The sequence below is a fragment of the Homo sapiens genome, chromosome 5, assembly GCF_000001405.40.
Source record: "Homo sapiens chromosome 5, GRCh38.p14 Primary Assembly".
Lineage (NCBI taxonomy): Eukaryota > Metazoa > Chordata > Mammalia > Primates > Hominidae > Homo > Homo sapiens.
The window spans coordinates 69,143,241-69,163,275 of NC_000005.10; the positions used below are offsets into that span (position 1 = coordinate 69,143,241).

The 20,035-nt window shown below is 44.2% G+C and overlaps 1 non-coding gene across 1 annotated transcript; it reads left to right on the plus strand.

Moving 5' to 3' along the window:
* Window positions 1-17,567: 17,567 nt before the first annotated feature.
* On the plus strand, window positions 17,568-17,699 carry SNORA50D (small nucleolar RNA, H/ACA box 50D). The gene has a single exon (NR_145732.1). It is a non-coding gene; the product is annotated as a small nucleolar RNA, H/ACA box 50D (small nucleolar RNA).
* Window positions 17,700-20,035: the final 2,336 nt, after the last annotated feature.

The following is a 20,035-nucleotide window of genomic DNA, read 5'->3' on the forward strand; positions in this document are numbered from 1 at the left end:
AGCATCAATAAAAATAATCATGTGGTTTTTGTGGCTCATTCTGTTGATATAATGTAGCACATTCATTGATTTGCATATGTTGAGCCATCCTTGCATCCCTGAGATAAATCCTACTTGGTCATGATGATTGATCTTTTTAATGTATTGTTGAATTCAGTTTGCTAGTATTTTGTTTAGGATTTTTACATCAATGTTCATCAGATATATTGGCCTGTAGTTTTCTTTTTTGATGTGTCTTTGCCTGGTTTTAGTATGAGTGCAATACTTGGCCTCGAAGAATGAGTTTGGAAGTTTCCTTGCTTCCTTACTTTGCAGAATAGTTTGAATAAAATTGAAATTAGTTCTTCTTTAAATGTTTGGTTAAATTCAGCAGTGAAGCCATCGGGTCCCAGGCTTTTTTGACTGGGAGACTTTTTGTTATAGCTTCAATCTCGTTACTTGTTATTAGTCTCTTCAGGTTTTGAATTTCTTCATGGTTCAATTTTGGTAGGTTGCATGAGTGTCTAGGAATGTATCCATTTCTTCTAGATTTTCCAATTTATTGGTATATAGTTGCTCACAGCATATAGTTGCTCTAACGGTCCTTTGAATTTCTGCAGTATTGGTTGTAATGTCTCGCTTTTCAACTCTGATTTTATTTATTTGGGTCTTCTGTCTTTTTTTTGTAGTCTGGCTAATGGTTTTTCATTTTTCTTTATCTTTTAAAAAACAATTTTTGTTTCATTGATCTTTTGTATTTTCTTGCTTTCAACTTCATTTATTTCTGCTCTGATCTTTATTGATTCTTTTCTTCTACTAACTTTGGGTTTGGTTTCCTCTTGCTTTTCTAATTCTTCAAGCTTCATCATTAGGTTATTTATTTGAAGTTTTTCTTCTTTTATATATATATATATATATATATATATGTAATGCTTCACGAATTTGCATGTCATTCTTCTTTTTTTTTTTTTTGAGACGGAGTCTAGCTCTGTTGCCAGGCTGGAGTTCAGTGGCACGATCTTGTCTCACTGCAACCTCCACCTCCTGGGTTCAAGCGATTCTCCCACCTCAGCCTCCCAAGTAGCTGGGATTACAAGGACGTGCCACCACACCCAGCTAATTTTTGTATTTTTAGTAGACACAGGGTTTCATCATGTTGGCCAGGATGGTCTTGATCTCCTGACCTCATGATCCGCCCACCTCAGCCTCCCAAAGTGCTGGGATTACAGGTGTGGGCCACCGCACCCGGCCTTTTCTTCTTTTTTGATATAGGTACTTACAGCTACAAACTTCCCTCTTAGTACTGCTTTTGCTGTATCCAATAGGTTTTAGTATGTTCTGTTTCCATTATCAATTCTTTCAAGAAATTTCTCAATTTCTTTCTTAATATCTTCATTGACCCACTGGTCATTTAGGAGCATATTGCTTAACTTTTTTTTTTTTTTTTTTTTTTTTGAGACAGAGTTTTGCTCTTGTTGCCCAGGCTGGAGTACAATGGTGCAATCTCAGCTCACTGCAACCTCCACCTCCTGGGTTCAAGCAATTCTCATGCCTCAGCCTCCCAAGCAGCTGGGATTACAGGCGCCTGCCACCACGCCCGGTTAATTTTTGTATTTTTAGTAGAGACAGAGTTTCACCATGTTGGCCAGAATGGTCTCGAACTCCTGACCTCAGGTGATCCGCCTGCCTTGGCCTCCCAAATTGCCGGGATTACAGGCATGAGCCACCACGCCCGGCAATATTGCTTAACTTTCATGTATTTGTATAGTTTCCAAAAATCCTTATTACTGATTTCTAGTTTTACTCCAGTGTGGTCAGAGAAGATACTTGATATTACGTCAGTTTTTTGAATGTTTTAAGATTTGTTTTGTGGCCTAACATATGGTCTGTCCTTGAAAAGATGCATGTGCTGAGGAGAAGAATGTATATTCTGCAGCTGTTAGATGAAATGTTAGGTAAATATTATTACGTCCACTGTCTATGGTGCAGATTCAGTCCAAAGTTTCTTTGTTGTATTTTTGTCTGGATGATCTGTCAAATGCTGAAAGTGGGGTGCTGACATCTCCAGCTACTATTGTATTGGGGTCTATCTCTCTTTTCAGTTCTAATAAAATTTGCTTTATATATATATATGGGTGCTCCAGTGTTGGGTACATATATATTTACAATTATTATATCATTTGCTGAATTGACCCCTTTATCATTATATAATGTCCTTCTTTGTCTCTTTTTATTATTTTTATTTTACTTTATTTTATTTTTTTTGAGACAGAGTCTCACTATGTCGCCCATGCTGGAGTGCAGTGGTGCGATCTCAGCTCACTGAAACATCTGCCTCCCAGGTTCAAGTGATTCTCCTGCCTCAGCCTCCTGAGTAACTGGGATTACAGGCGCCCACCACCACGCCTGGCTAATTTTTGCATTTTTTTTAGTAGAGACGGGGTTTCGCCATGTTGGCCAGGCTGGTCTCAAACTCCTGATCTCAGGTGATCCACCCACCTTGGCCTCCAAAAGTGTTGGGATTACAGGCATGAGCCACCGTGCCTGGCCCTTTGTCTTTTCATAGTTTTTGCCTTGAAATCTGTTATGTCTAATATTAGTATAGCTACTCCTACCCTTTCTTGGTTTCCATTAGCATGGAATATCTTTTTCCCTCCATTTATTTTCGGTCTGTGGGTGTCTTTATAGGTGAATTGTGTTTCTTGGAGGCAATAGATCTTTGGGTCTTGTTTTTTTAATCCATTCAGCCACTCTGGGTCTTGACTAGAGAGTCTAGTCCATTTGCATTCAATGTTATTTGTAAGTAAGAACTTATTCCTCCATTTTGTTATTTTCTGAATCTTTTGTGGTCTTCTTTTCCTTCTTCCTTCCTGTCTTCCTCTTAGTGAAGGTGATTTTCTCTAGTCATATGTTGAATTTCTTGCTTTTTACTTTTCATGTTTGTGTTGTATGCTTTTAGATTTGAGGTTAGCATCAGGCATGCTAATAATACCTTAAAAACCCATTATTTTAAACTGATTATAACACAGAACATAAACAAACTAACAAGCAAAAAGAAAACTAGGGCCGGGCGCGGTGGCTCACGCCTGTAATCCCAGCGCTTTGGGAAGCCAAGGCGGGCAGATCACGAGGTCAGGAGATCGAGACCATCCTGACTAACACGGTGAAACCCTGTCTTTACTAAAAATACAAAAAATTAGCCAGGCGTGGTGGCACACGCCTGTAGTCCCAGCTATTCAGGAGGCTGAGGCAGGAGAATGGCATGAACCCAGGAGGCGGAGCTTGCAGTGAGCCGAGATGGCGCCACTGCACTCCAGCATGGGCGACAGAGCAAGACTGTGTCTCAAAAAAAAAAAAAGAAAGAAAGAAAACTCTATACTTTAGCTTTGTCTCCTCACTTTTTAACTTTTTGCTATTTCTAGTCATATCTTACTGTACTATGTCTTGAAAATTTGTTGCAGTTATTATTTTTGATCAGTCTATCTTTTCATCTTTCTACTTGAGAAATGAGAAGTTTACATACCACAATTGCAGTGTTATATTATTCTGTATTTTTCCGTGTACTTACTATTACCAGTGAGTTTTGTAACTTCAGATGATTTCTTTTGTTGTTGTTGCTGTTGCTGAGACAGGGTCTTGCTTTGTCAGCCAGGCTGTAGAGCAGTGGCACAATCATAGCTCACTGCAGCCTTGAACTCTCAGGTTCAAGCATTCTTCCCACCTCAGCCTCCCAAGTAGCTGGGACTACAGGTATGCGCCACCACGCCCAGCTAACTCTTTTAACTTTTTTGTACAGATGAGGTCTCACTATGTTGCCCAGGCTGGTCTCAAACTCTTGAGCTCAAGTGATCCTCTCTCTTCAGCCTCTCACAGTGCTGGGATTACAGGCATGAGCCACTGCACCCAGTTCCTTCAAATGATTTCTTATTGCTCATTAACATCTTTTTCTTTTAGACTGAAGAACTCCCTTTAGCATTTCTTGTAGGATAGGTGTGGTGTTGATGAAATCCCTCAGCTTTTGTTTATTTGGGAAAGGCTATTTCTATTTCATGTCTGAAGGATGTCTTTTGCTGGATATACTATTTCTAGAGTAAAAGGTTTTTTTCCTTCTGCACTTAAATATGTCATGCCACTCTCTCCTGACCTACAAATTTTCCACTGAAAATTCTGCTGCCAGATGAACTGGAGCTCCATTGTATGTTATTAATATTTGTTTCTTTTCTCTTGCTGCTTTTAGGATTCTTTCTTTATCCTTGACCTTTCAAAGTTTATTAAATGCCTTGAGGTAGTCTTTGGGTTAAATTCTTAGGGTTCTACAACCTTCGTTTTTGTTTGTTTGTTTTTTGGGTTTTTTTTTTTCTTTTTTTTCTTTTTTCTACAATCTTCTTTCTTTTTTTTTGAGATGAAGTCTCACTCTTGTCCCCCAGGCTGGAGTGCAATGGCACGATCTCAGCTCACTGCAACCTCTGCCTCCCAGGTTCAAGTGATTCTCCTGCCTCAGCCTCCCGAATAGCTGGGATTACAGGCGCCTGCCACCAGGCCCAGCTAATCTTTGTATTTTTAATAGAGACAGGGTTTCACCATGTTGGCCAGGCTGGTCTTGAACTCCTGACCTTAGGTGATCTGCCCGCCTCGGCCTCCCAAAGTGCTGGGATTACAGGCATGAGCCACCACGCCCGGCCTTACAATCTTCTTATACTTGAATATTGATATCTCTCTCTAGGTTTGGGAAGTTCTCTGTTATTATCCCTTTGAATAAACTTTCTACCCCTATCTCTCTCTCTCTCTACCTCCTAAGGCCAAAAACTCTTAGATTTGCCCTTTTGAGACTTTCTTCTAGATCTCTTTTTTGTTTTTTTTGTTTTTTTTGTTTTTTGAGATGGAGTCTCGCTCTGTCACCCAGGCTGGAGTGCAGTGGCGCAATCTCAGCTCACTGAAAGCTCCGCCTCCCGGGTTCACGCCATTCTCCAGCCTCAGCCTCCCGAGTAGCTGGGACTACAGGCACCCGCCACCGTGCCCGGCTAATTTTTTGTATTTTTAGTAGAGACGGGGTTTCACCTTGTTAGCCAGGATGGTCTCAATCTCCTGACCTTGTGATCCACCCGTCTTGGCCTCTCAAAGTGCTAGGATTACAGGCATGAGCCACCGCGCCCGGCCTGTCTTCTAGATCTTGTAGGCATGCTTTACTTTTTAAAATTCCTTTTTCTTTTGTCTCCTCTGTGTATTTTCAAATAACCTGTCTTCAATCTCACTAATTCTTTCTTCTGTTTAATCAATTCTGCTGCAGCAACTCTGACACATTCCTAAGTATGTCAATTGCATTTTTCAACTCCAGAATTTCTGCTTGATTCTTTTTAATTATTTCAATCTCTTTGTTAAATTTATCTAATAGGGCCAGGCATGGTGGTTCACGCCTGTAATCCCAGCAATTTGGGAGGCTGAGGCGGGTGGCAGATCACCTGAGGTCAGGAGTTTGAGACCAGTGTGGCCAACATGGCGAAACCCTGTCTCTACTAAAAATACAAGAATTAGCCAGGCGTGGTGGCAGGTGACTGTAATTCCAGCTGCTTGGTGGGAGCCCGAGGCATGAGACTCACTTGAATCTGGGAGGCGGAGGTTGCAATGAACTGAGATCACGCCACTGCACTCCAGCCTGGGGGATAGAGCAAGAGACTCTGTCTCCAAAAAATAAAAATAAATAAATAAATTTACCTAATAGGATTATGAATTCCTTTCCTGTGTTATCTTGAGTTTCTTTGAATTTCCTCAAAACAGCTACTTTGGATTCTGTCTGAAAGGTCACTTATCTCTGTCTCTCTGGGACTGGCTCCCAGTGCCTTATTTAGTTAATTTGGTGAGGGTATGTTTTCCTAAATGGTCTAGAAGCTTGTGGATGTTTGTCAGTGTCTGTGTATTGAAGACTTAGGTATTTTTTGCAGTCTTCACAGTCTGGGCTTGTTTGTACCTGCCCTTCTAGGAAAGGCTTCCCAAAGGGCCTTGGGTGTTGTGATCTAAGTTTTTGGTTACTGCAACCGTATCTGCATTAGAGGACACCCCAAGCCCAGTGAAGCTGTAGATCTTGCAGATTCATGAAGGTACCACCTTAGTGGTCTTGGTTAAAATCCAGAAGAATTCTCTGCATTACCAGGAGGAGATTCTTGTTCTCTTTCCTTACTTTCTCCCAAATAAATGGAGTCTCTCTCTCTCTCTGCTGAGCTGCCTGGAGTTGGGGGAATAGGTGACACAAGCATCCCTGTGGCCACCACCACTAGGACTGCTCTGGGTCACATCTGAAGCCAGCACAATACTAGGTCTTGCCCAAAGCCTGCTGCAACCACTACCTGACTTCTGCCTATGTTTGCTCAAGGCCCGAGGCCTCTACAATCATCAGGTGGTGAAGCCAGCCAGGCTTGTGTCCTTCTCTTCAGGGCAATGAGTTACCCCAGACCCCAGGCAGGTCCAGAGATGTTGTCTGGTAGCAGGGCCTGGAGTTGGAAACCTTCGAAATCTACCTGGTTCTCTATTCTACTACAGCTAAGCTGGCACTGAAACCACGAAACAAAGCTCTTCTCACTCTTCCCTCCCTTTCCCCAGGCAGAGGAGTCTCTCCCCATGTCCACCACCACAGGCCCACAGAGAGTACTGCCAGGGTACTGACGAAGTTCACTTAAGGCCCAAGGACGCTTCAATCAGCTTGTGGTGAATGCTGCCAGGCCTGGGACTCATGCTTTAGGGCAGTGGGCTCCCTTCTGGCCCGGGGTAGGTCCAAAAATGCTGTTCAAGAGCCAAGGCCTGGAATCAAGGACCTCAAAAGCCCACTCAGTGCTCTTCCCCACTGTGGCTAAGCTGGTACCTAAACTGATTTTTGGTTCTTATGAAGGTGTTTTTTTGTGTAAGACAGTTGTCAAATTTGGCGTTCCTTCGGGGAGGACAATAGGTGGAGGCTTCTATTCAGTCATCTTGTTCCTCCTCCTATCCCAAGGCATTAAAATATTGATTAGGGCCAGGCACGGTGGCTCACGCCTGTAATCCCAACACTTTGGGAGGCTTAGGCAGGCGGATCACCTGAGGTCAGGAGTTTGAGACCAGCCTGTCCAACAAAGCAAAACTTCGTCTCTACTAAAAATAGAAAAATTAGCCAAGCGTGATGGCGCAGGCCTGTAATCCCAGCTACTTAGGAGGCTGAGGCAGGAGAATCACTTGAACCCAGGAGGCGGAGGTTGTAGTTAGCTGAGATCGTGCCACTGCACTCCAGCCTAGACGACAGCAAGACTCTGTCTCAAAAATAAAATAAAATAAATGATAATATAAAATAAAATATTGAGCCCAGGTGCGGCAGCTCATACCTGTAATCCCAGCACTTTGGGAGGCTGAAGCGGGTGGATCACGAGGTCAGGAGTTCGAGACCAGCCTGGCCAACATGGTGAAAACCCATCTCTACGAAAATACAAAAATCAGCCAGGCGTGGTGGCAGGCTCCTGTAGTCCCAGCTACTCAAGAGGCTGAGGCAGGAGGATTGCTTGAACCCAGGAGGCAGAGGTTGCAGTGAGCCCAAAGATCACACTATTGCCTGGTCAACAGAGTGAGACTCGGTCTCAAAAAATAATAATATATTGATTAAGGCTGGGTATGGTGGTTCACACCTGTAACCCCAGCACATCGGGAAGCTGAGGCAGGATTGCTTGAACCTAAGAGTTCCAAAGCAGCCTGGGAAACATATTGAGAACTCATCTCTACAAAAAATTAAAAAGTTAGATGTGGTGACTCACGCCTATAGTCCCACCTACTTGGGAGGCTGAGATGGGAGGACTGCTTGAGCCCAGGAGGTCAAGGCTGCAGTGAGCCATGACTGTACCACTGCACTCCAGCCTGTGTGATAGAGTAAGACCCTGTCTAAAAAAAAAAAAAAAAAAAACAGGCCAGGCTCACACCTGTAATCCCAGCACTTTGGGAGGCTGAGGTGGGCAGATCATGGGATCATGAGGTCAGGAGATGGAGACTATCCTGGCTAACACAGTGAAACCCCATCTCCACTAAAAATACAAAAAAATTAGCTGGGCGTGGTGGCGGGAGCCTGTAGTCCCAGCTACTTGGGAGGCTGAGGCAGGAGAATGGCATGAACCCGGAAGGCAGAGCTTGCAGTGAGCTGAGATTGTGCCCACTGCACTCCAGCCTAGGCAACAGAGCAAGACTCCATCTCAAAAAAAAAAAAAACACACATATTGGCCAGGCATAGTGGCTCACACCTGTAATCTCAGCACTTTGGGAGGCCAAGGCAGGTAGATCACTTGAGCTCAGGAATTTGAGACCAGCCTGGGCAACATGGTGAAACACCATCTCTACAAAAAATACAAAAATGAGTGGGGTGTGGTAGTGCTTGCCTGTAGTCCAAGCTACTTGGGGGGCTGAGGTGAGAGGATGGCTTGAGACCGGCAGGTCGAGGCTGCAAAGAAGCCATGTTCGCACCTCTGCACTCTAGCTTGGGCCAGAGAGTGAGACTCTGTCTGCCTCTCTCTCTTTATCTCTCCAGGGGACACCCCAAGCCCAGTAATGCTGTAGATCTATATATATCTGTATATATAGATTAGGCCAGGTATACTGACTTGTGCCTGTAATCCCAGCTATTTGAGAGGCTAAGATATACATACATATAGATTAGGCCAAGCATAGTAACTCATGCCTGTAATCCCAGCTATTCAGGAGGCTAAGACAGGAGCATCACTTAAACCCAGGAGTTTAAGACTAACCTGGGCAGTATAGCAAGATCCTCTCTCTCTCTCTCTCTCTCTCTCTCCATATATATGTATTAGAAGCTCTGTGTCAGTGTGCAAGCATGTCAAGTGGTGAGCTTCAGTATAAGGGTAACCAAGCGGTGGCCCAGTCATTTCATGGGGACCTTTCCTAACCATCAATATTTTTAGAACTTTTTCTGTTGGGCTGATCCATTCCCCAGAAACCATTCTCTTACTTCACTTAGAAGGGTATAAGTCCAGCTGCCAGCCTTTTGGGGACTGGGTAGGAGAAGGCGACTGGAGGTCTTACCATTTGGTATGCACAATTTTACTTAAAGCCCCTCTCAGCTTGCCTGGTCTCCTGAAATCCAGAACCCCTTTAGTTCAGCCACTCCAGAACATAAACCTCTAGTCGTCTGCCAGGACCAAGGAGAGGTTGTGCTCTTACTGCACTCAGCTGAGCAGGATGGAATCAACCAATTCTTTTCTTTTTTAAATTCTTTTTTATATTTTAAAAATATTTTCATCCAGCTAAAAATATCAACAACCAATTCTTTTTTGTTGTTTTTGTTTTTTCGGTTTTTTTTTTTTGAGACAGGGTCTCACTCTGTCACCCAGGCTGGGGTACAGTGGCATGATCATAGCTCACTGCAGCCTCAACCTCCCAGGCTCAAGTAATCCTCCCGCATCAGCCTCCTGAATAGCTGGGACTACAGGCGCCCACCACCATGCTCGGCTAATTTTTTTTTTGAAACAGGGTCTCACTATGTTGCCTAGGTCTCAAACCTTTGGGCTCAAGTGATCCTCCACAGCCTCCCAAAGTTCTGGGATTACAGGTGTGAGCCACCGTGCCTGGCCATCATGCATCTTTTAAAAACCATTGTTTTGGCAGAGCTTGAGGAAGTAACCAAGATACGTGTGTATTAGTCTGTCATGTTAGATCACTACTCCCTCTGTGAAACACTGACTTCTCTTTTCTGAGATACCACAATCAGTTCTCCTGCCTCTCTGGTGTTCTTGCCCAATATTCTTAGATGGCTTTTCTTCCTCCGCTCCATCTTTAAATATGGAAGGCCCAGACCTTGCTTCTGGGCATCTACTCTTCTGTATGTTCCTTCCCTAGATGATCTCATCTGTGTCAGGCATAAAAGGCCCTCTACAGCAAAAAGGGATTATATCTCCCATCCTGACCTCTGTCTAGTAGACTAGTAGACCTCGCCTCTTGTATATCTTTTTTTTGAGACAGGGTCTCACTCTGTCGCTCAGGCTGGAGTACAGTGGTGTGATCATGGCTCACTGCAGCCCCAACCACCTTAGCTCAAATGATCCTCCTGCCTCAGCTTCCCAAGTAGCTAGCATCACAGGTGCATGCCTCCACACCAGGCTAATTTTTTAAAGAGTTTTTTGTAGAGATGAGGTCTCACTATGTTGCCCTGGCTGGGTCCTGTATATCTCTAAGCGTTCCAAATACAGCAGAATTCTTTCTTTCTTTTTTTTTTTTTTTTGAGAGGGAGTCTCACTCTGTCACCCAGGCTGGAATGCAGTGGCACGATCTCAGCTCACTGCAACCTCTGCCTCCCAGATTCAAGCGATTCTCTTGCCTCAGCCTCCCAAGTACCTGGGATTACAGGCGCCCACCACCACGCCTGGCTAATTTTTGTTTTTTTAGTAGAGATGGAGTTTCACCATGTTGGCCAGGCTGGTCTCGAACTCCTGACCTCAGGTGATCCACCCACCTCGGCCTCCCAAAGTGCTGGGATTATAGGCGTGAGCCACCATGCCTGGCCTCAGAATTCATAATATCCTATCCAAAACCTGCTACCCTCTAAAAGGTGGTCCTCTCTTGGTCTTTTCTATTTCAGTTACTCAAGCCAAAACCCAGGAGTCATCCTTGATTCCTATTTCTCTCACTCAAGCATGCAAACCATTAAGACCTAGCAACTCCACTTCCATAACATATGCTGGCCCATCCCTTTCTGTCCACCTCTAATAGTCCATCCAAGCCATCATCTTTCCTGGTCTCTTGCAATAGCCTCTTTCTGGCCCCCTTGCTTCTCTTCTCCTCCCACCTCTCCTTCATCCTCCCCTTACCCCATATATTCTCCCCATAGTGGCTAAGGTAATATTTTTGTTCATTTGTTATTATTTTTACCTTATTTTCATATAATTTGCCCTTTGCCATTCTTTTTTTTTTTTTTTTTTTTTAACAGGGTCTTGTTCCGTCACCCAAGCTGGAGTATTGGCGTGCAGGGGTGTGATCATGGCTCACTGCAGCCTTGACCTCCCAGGCTCAAGCAATCCTCCCACTTCAGCCTCCTAAGTAGCTGGGATTACAGGTGTGCACTACCACACCTGGCTAATTTTTGTATTTTTCATAGAGACAGGGTTTCACCATGTTGCCCAGGCTAACCTTGAACTCCTGGGCTCAAGACATCCACCTGCCTCAACCTCCCAAAGTGCTGTAATTACAGGCGTGAGCCACTGCACCCAGCTTTACTTTATCATTCTTATATTACTTCTAACTGTTCTTTTCTTTCTTTTTTTTTCATATTTACCCTATTTTTTTTTCTTTTTCAACTTTTATTTTAGAATTGGGGATACATGTGCAGATTTGTTACAAAGGTATATTGCATGATGCTTAAGTTTCTGATTGAAAGATAAACCAGATCATGTCCCACCTTGGCTTAAACCCTGCAAAGGCTTCCAGTGCACTTATCATAGCCCAGACTCCTTACCTTGGTTTACAGTACCTGTATAATCCTACCCTTTCCAACATCTTCAACCGCATCTCTACTACTTCCCCTCTATACTCTAGCCACACTGGCTTTTCTGAATATGACAAGCTCATTTCTATCTTTGTGTTTTTCACGGACTACTTCCTTTATCTGGGATGTTCTCCTTATTGTCATTTAAGCCTCAGTTTAAATGTCACCTCCTCAAGAGAGACAATTCCTGACCAAAGTCTAAAGTAGCTACCAAACCAGTCTATTTGTGTCACTTTCTTTTAATTTTCTGCCTACCACTTAGTTTTACCTGGTTTGTTCCCTCTACTTATTTATTCATTTGTTTAGCCTCTCCGACTAGAGTGTAAGCTTCATGAGAGCGGGGATCTGATCTGTTATATTCAGAGCAATATCCTTAGCATCTAGAGCAGTAACTGGTATGAAGTTGACATTATTAACTTGGTCAGGAGAGGGAACATTGAATATTAATAGTTCCCTGAGGAGAAATGCAGGAGTTTTTGTTTGTTTGTTTGGTTGTTGTCACTGTTGTTGTTGTTGTTGTTTGAGACAGAGTCTTGCTCTGTTGCCCAGGCTGGAGTGCAGTGGCACGATCTTGGCTCATTGCAACCTCCACCTCCCGGATTCAAGCGATTCTCCTGCCTCAGCCTCCCGAGTAGCTAGGATTACAGGCGTGCACCACCACACCCAGCTTATTTTTGTATTTTAGTAGAGACGGGGTTTAACCATGTTGGCCAGGCTGGTCTCAAACTCTTGACCTCAAGTGATCCACCTGCCTTGGCCTCTCAAAGTGCTGGGATTACAGGCGTGAGGCACAGCACCTGGCCAGAAGTTTTAAGTGTTATAAAGAGAGCAGGTAATCCACAGTGGTTATGCTAATTAAGCACTGATAATTAGCATTCTGAGTAGAAATGAGTCTGTGTATGAGTATGTACATAGTTGACGGTATTTCTCAAGCTCGGCACTATTGGCACTATTGACATCTTGGGCTGGATAATTCTTTGTGTATGGTGGGTGGCCGTGAGGGATGTCCTGTGCATCACAAGGTGTTTAGCAGCATCTCTAGTTTCTACCCACTAGATGCCATCCCAGTTGGGAAAACTCAGAATGTCTCTAGACATAACCAAATGTCCCTCATGGGACAAAACATTCCCCAGTTGAGAACTACTTGATTAAAAGATGTTCCGGCTGGGCACAGTGACTCATGTCTGTAATCCCAGCACTTTGGGAGGCCAAGGTGGGCAGATCACCAGAGGTCAGGAGTTTGAGACCAGCCTGGCCAACATGGCGAAACCCCGTCTCTACTAAAAATACAAAAATTAGCCGGGCATGGTGGCGGGCACCTGTAATCCCACCTACTCGGGAGGCTGAGGCAGCAGAATCACTTGAGCCTGGGAGGCGGTGGTTGCAGTGAGCCAAGATTGCGCCACTGTACTCCAGGGTAGGCGACAGAGTGAGACTCCATCTCAAAAAAAAATAAAAAATAAAAAATAAAGGATAAAAGATGTTCCATTTTGCATTAGTCAAAAATGAGTCTTCACTTTGGTCTAGTAAAAGCCTGGCGTCCGAGGGTCATTCAAAGTTCATGGTATTTTATCAGCTTCAGTAGTTAGATCCTATGGCAATGAAGCAATAGTTTCGATAATTCCTAAGCAAATGCTATTGTAAGTGAAAAATTAATTTTTATAGTCCCTCTTCCTGAGACAACAGGATGACCTCACAAAGGGTCAACACATGATCAGGTTCTGAAATCTTAGCTACCATCTTAGTTTCTTTCAGATGTCATTCTCACAAGATTCCATCTTGTTTATCAGAATAATCTTAATTTTTTGTTGTAGAATTCCTGAATGCGTAAAACAGGATGGTGGCTGCACAACAACTGGCACTTCAAAACCTGTGTACAAGCCGGGCGCAGTGGCCCACGCCTTAATCCCAGCACTTTGGGAGGCCGAGGTGGGTGGATCACTTGAGGCCAGGAGTCAGACCAGCCTGGGCAACATGGTGAAACCCTGTCTCTACTAAAAACACAAAAATTAGTTGGGTGTGGTGGCGCCCGCCTGTAATTCCAGTTACTCAGGTGGCTGAGGCACGAAAATCGCTTGAACCCGGAAGGCGGAGGTTGCAGTGAGCTGAGATCACATTACTGTACTCTGGTCTGGGCAACAGAGGGAGACTGTCTCAAAAAAATAAACTAAAATACATTTTAAAAACTACAACGTGCTAACAAAAAATAAACAAGCAAATAAGTAAAATAAAATTTCACGGCCGGGTGCTATGGCTCACGTCTGTAATCCCAGCACTTTGGGAGGCCGAGGCAGGTGGATCACCTGAGGTCAGGAGTTCAAGACCAGCTTTGCCAACATGGCAAAACGCCATCTCTACCAAAAATACACAAATTAGCCAGGCGTGGTGGGACATGCCTATAATCCCCGCTGCTGGGGAGGCTGAGGCATGAGAATCACTTGAACCTGGGAAGCAGAGGTTGCAGTGAGCTGAAGTTGTGCCACTGCACTCCAGCCTGGGCAACAGAATGAGACTCTGTCTCAAAGAAAAAAAAAAATTCAGCAGATGAAGGGTGGGCAAGTATTTAAAAAATAAAATAAAAAAACCTGCTAACAGCCGGGCACAGTGACTCACGCCTGTAATCCCAGCACTTTGGGAGGCCAAGGCGGGCAGATCGCCTGAGGTCAGGAGTTCGAGACCAGCCTGCCCAACATGGTGAAACCCCATCTCTACTACAAATACAAAAATTAGCTGGCTGTGGCTGCAGACGCCTATAATCCCAGCTACTCAGGAGGCTGAGGCAGGAGAATCGCTTGAACCGGGAAGTGAAGGTTGCAGTGAGCTGAGATCGCACCATTGCACTCCAGCCTGGGCCACAAGAATGAGACTTCATCTCAAAAAAAAATACCTGCTAACAATAACTTGACAACAGCAACCATTAGTAACAACTTAAATAATGTTTACAGTATATCCGAAATCAGCAAAAGCCCAAATCCTGCTAAAAGATTCCACAGATTAGTCTGGGCAACATGGCGAGAACCTGTCTCCACAAAAAGTTTAAAAATTAGCTGGGCATGGTGTTGCACACCTGCAGTGCCGGCTACTTCGGAGGCTGAGGCAGGAGGATTGCTTAAGCCTGGGAGGTCCAGGCTTCAGTGTGCTGTGGTTGCACCACTGCCCTCCAGCCTGGGTGACAGAGAGAGACCCTGCCTCAAAAAAAGAAAAAAGAAAGAAAAGAAAAAAGAATTCCACAGATTGGTTTTCCCCACCTTGACTTGGATTGGCTTAGCTCTTCGATTTTATTTAATTTAATCCTCCCACCTCAGCCTCCTGATTAGCTGAGACTACTCAGGCATTGTATCACCATGCCCAGCTAATTTTTATTTTTTGTAGAGACAGGGTCTCACTACATTGCCCAGGCTGGTCTGGAACTCCTGGGCTCAAGCAATCCTCCCACCTCGGCCTACCAAAGTGCTGAGATTACAGGCATGAAGCACCGCGCCCAGCCTATTCTTGGATTTTACACTGAGATCTATTGATTTAGTCTGAAGCACTTCTCCAAATGCAACAGTTGTTAGTAGTTGGTATTAAGCACTGCCTTGTTTAGTCAGTAAATAACCTGAAGTGATTCTGTTGTCTAGCATGATTGCAGCAAATGAATTAAAGCTTTTTTTTGTTCAGCAAGTATAGCAGACAATCTTGTCTACACAATTTCATTTGCCAATTCCACTGTAAAGGGCAGTTTCTAACACAGCATTCTAAACTAGGCACCTCCAATGCAAGGCTGAGACTAGTACATGAAGGAATGGAAACCATTGTGTCTGACTGCTAATTGAAGATTTGTATTTCAACAGGCATAGGGTTGACAGAACATTCAGTCATCTGAAAGACTAGCAATATGATTAAATTCCCAAAATGGCATATAAACCACTTCCAGAGGCCTCATTCCTTCTTCTGGTCAAGACCTACATTAATAGTAACATTACTGACCGGGCTGGGTGGCTCACGCCTGTAATCCTATCACTTCAGGAGGCCGAGGCAGGTGGATCACAAGGTCAAGAGATCGAGACCATCCTGGCCAACATGGTGAAACCCCGTCTCTACTAAAAATACAAAAATTAGCCGGGTGTGGTGGCGTGCGCCTGCAGTCCCAGCTACTCAGGAGGCTGAGGCAGGAGAATCGCTTGAACTCGGGAGGCGGAGGTTGCAGTGAGCTGAGATTGCACCATTGCACTCCAGCCTGGCAATAGAGTAAGACTCCATCTCAAAACAAACAAACAAACAAAAAACCAGTAACATTACATTAGCATAAGGGACACAACCCGTAATTTTGGTAAATTTTGTAGGTATGCTTCCAAGTGTCTAAGAGTCATTTAAACCAAATATGCAGTTAATCCAATCAAACTGAATGTAAACCTGTAGCCCAATTTCATAAGCACCAATCTTGATTGGAATGTCTTGAATTAAGCAATCTGCTTCCACAAACTCATCTACTCCTAGAACCAAAAAGTTCCTGGGATTCCTGACTCAATTACCTGAGTTCTGACATGCATGTATACAATGGGTAACAACGTGAGCTAAAACTGAGAAGCCTGCACCCATAGCTGTATTCTCAGTAATAGCAACAACTAAGACTAACTAACCCTTTGAAGCTTTTTAATTTCCTTTCTTTTTTTCCTTTTTCTTGCTCTTCAAGAGTTTGACAACATACCTTTGAAGTTTTGTGATGTTTCTTCCAGAAGACAATTTTGGATCTATCATTTGTAACTGGAGCATCTAGGCAAATACAAGGAGAAAAAAGTCAGAGGTCTCTTGTGGTTAATAAAACTTAATGGCTGTAGTTGATTTACTACAATAATAATAATAGAATGGAAAAAAGCTAGAATCCTCTGTTAAAGTATACTACACATCAATTTATAAGTATTTAGTCAATAAGAACATAATACGGGCCCAGTGCAGTGGCTCATGCCTGTAATCCCAACACTTTGGGAGGCCAAGGCAAGAGGCTTGCTTGAGGCCCAGAATTTAAGACCAGCATGGGCAACATAGCAAGACCTCATCCTACAAAAAAAGGAACACAATATGGATCAACTGTGAGAGTATTGACAACTGCTAGTTTACTTAATTTTTTTTTTTTTTTTTAAGATGGAGTCTAAGGCCGGGCGCGGTGGCTCACAGCTGTAATACCAGCGCTTTGGGAGGCTGAGGCGGGCAGATCACAAGGTCAGGAGTTCGACACCAGCCTCGTCAACATAGTGAAACCCTATCTCTACTAAAAATACAAAAAAATTAGCTGGGTGTGGTGGTGGGCGCCTGTAATCCCAGCTACTCGGGAGGCTGAGGCAAGAGAATCGCTTGAACCCAGGAGTCGGAGGTTGCAGTGAGCCGAGATCACACTATTGCACTCCACTCTGGGCGACAGAACAGGACTCCGTCTCAAAAAAAAAAAAAATCGAGATTGAGTCTAGCTATCGCACCCAGGCTGGAGTGTAGTGGCACCATCTCAACTCACTGCAACCTCTGCCTCCCGGGTTCAAGCAATTCTCCCTGCCTCAGCCTCCCTAGTAGCTGGGATTACAGGCGCCCGCCACCAAGCCCGGCTAATTTTTGTATTTTTTAGTAGAGATGGGGTTTCGCCATGTTGGCCAGGCTGGTCTTGAACTCCTGACCTCAGGAGATCCGCACGCCTCGGCCTCCTAAAGTGCTGGGATTACAGGCGTGAACCACTGCGCCCAGACGAGTTTCCTTAATTTATACCACAAAGTATATTATGATATCAATTCACAAGGTTATTTAATCATAAAAACAAAAATTTTTCTTAAAACCAATTGAGGCTCACACCTGTAATCCCAGCACTTTGGGAGGCCGAGGGGGGTGGATCACTTTGAGGTCAGGAGATCGAGACCAGCCTAGCCAACATAGCGAAACCTCGTCTCTACTAAAAATTAGCCGGGCATGGTGTATGTGACTATAATCCCAGCTACTCTGGAGGCTGAGACAGGAGAATCGCTTGAACCCGGGAGGTGGAGGTTGCAGTGAGCCGAGATCATGCCACTTCACTCCTGCCTGGGCGACAGAGTGAAACTCCGTGCAGGAAAAAAAAAAAAAAAAAGCGCTGCCTTTGTACCCCACCGTGCCTCCGCCTGGTGTCTGGGGTCAGGTTGCAGTGCCAGAGCACGTGCTTGCGCATAAATGGGGCAGCCTGGCCCCCTGCGGATGGTCCTTTTAACCGCGAGCAACAAGGAGGCGAAAAAAAAATTGATAGTTAATGTGTCCGCCTTTTTTTTTTTTTTTTTTTTGAGACTGAGCCTGGCTCTGTCGCCCAGGCTGGAGTGCAGTGGCACTATCTCCACTCACTGGACAACCTCTGCCTCCCAGGTTCAAGCAATTCTCCTGCCTCAGCTTCCCAAGTAGCTGGAACTACAGGCGTGCACTAGAATGCCCGGCTAATTTTTTTGTATTTTTAGTAGACAGGGGTCTTGCCATGTTGGCCAGGCTGGTTTCGAACTGCTGACCTCAGGTGATCCGCCCACCTCAGCCTCCCAAAGTGCTGGGATTGCAGGCCTGAGCCACCACACCTGGCCTATAGTTAATGTGTCAACTTTTATAAATGAATATAAATATGTCTCTCAAACTTAAAGTATATTTTCACTAAAAAAATAGCAAAATAGAGCTGGGTGTGATGGCTCATGCCTGTAATCCCCGGCACTTTGGTAGGCCAAAATGGGAGGATCACTTGAGGCCAGTTCAAGACCAGCCTGGTCAATATAGTGAGCCCCTATCTCCATTAAAAAAAACAAATTAAATAAATAAAAGAGAAAAGCAAAATAGAGCTCTTGAATTGTCCATTTAAAAAAATATTCCGGGTTTGGCAGATAAAATAGCTCTGACAAAAGTTTTGGATTAGTTAAAATCTAGAAAATGCCAAGCAAATCTAATTATTGTCATTATCTCTTATAAGATGAAGTAGTAAATTTTTGTAGTTTCCTTGAAATACAATGGAAACCCAGGAAACGCCTAAGGCATTTAAAGGGTGTAAAAGTCATCTTAATTATTTCATAATTCCAAATATACAGCCTGAATTTGAAGAAAGGAATATCAAAAAGACTTGTCAGAACAGAAATTCACAATAGGAAAGACTTGGAACCAAGCCAAATGTCCATCAGTGATAGCCTGGATTAAGAAAATGTGGCACCGGGCATGGTGGCTCACGCCTGTAAACCCAGCACTTTGGGAGGCCGAGGTGGGTGGATCACATAAGCTCTGGAGTTCGAGACCGGCCTGACCAACATGGAGAAACCCTATCTCTACTAAAAAAAAAAATACAAAGCTAGCCAGGGGTGGTAGCACATGGCTGTAATCCCAGCTACTTGGGAAGCTGAGGCAGGAGAATCACTTGCCATTGCACTCCAGTCTGGGCAGCAATAGTGAAACTCCATCTAAAAAAAAAAAAAAAAAAGTGGCACATATACACTATGGAATATTATGCAGCCATAAAAAGGATGAGTTCATGTCCTTTGCAGGGACATGGATGAAGCTGTAAACTATCATTCTCAGCAAATTATCACATGGACGGAAAACCAAACACCACACGGTCTCACTCATAGGTGGGAATTGAACCATGAGAACACTTGGACGCAGGGTGGGGAACATCACACACCAGGGCCTGTCAGTGGGGTTGGAGGGCTGAAGGAGGGATAGCATTAGGAGAAACACCTAATGTAAATGACGAGTTGATGGGTGCAGCAAACCAACATGGCACATGCATACCTATGTAACAAACCTACACATTATGCACATGTACCCTAGAACTTAAAGTATAATACAAAAATTTTAAAATTTTAAAAAAAGATCACAGTGAATGGGTACAAAAGTACTATTAGATAGAAGGAATAAGATCTAGTGTTCCGTAGCCTAGATCTGGCCTAGGGTGACTATAGTTAACAATAATTTATTGTATATATTTATATATTTCCTTTTTTTTTTTTTTTTTGAGAAACAGTCCGCTCTGTCGCCCAGGCTGGAATGCAGTGACGCGATCTCAAATCACTGCAACCTCCGCCTCCCAGGTTCAAGTGATTCTCCTGCCTTAGACTCCTGAGTAGCAGGAATTACAGGCTTGTGCCACCATGCCTGGCTAATTTTTGTATATTTTGTAGAGATGGGGTTTCGCCATGTTGGCCAGGCTGGTCTCGAACTCCTAAGCTCAAGCAATCCCTGAGCTCAAGCAATCCTTGAGCTCCTTACAGGCATGAGCCACCATGCTCGGCCTTTTTTAATTTTTTTTTGAGACAAGGTCTTGCTCTGTCACCCCGGTTGGAGTGCAGTAGTGCAATCACAGCTCACTCAGCCTCAACCTCTCAGACTCAAGCGATCCTCCCACCTCAGCCTCCTGAGTAACTAGGACTAGAGGTATACACCACCAATCCCAGCTAATTTTTGTATTTTTTGTAGAGATGGGGTTTGCCAGGTTGCCCGGGCTGATCTCGGACCCCTGGGCTCAAATGATACTCCTGCTTTGGCCTCCCAAAGTGCTGGGATTATAGGCATGAGCCACCATACCCAGTCTGTATATTTCCA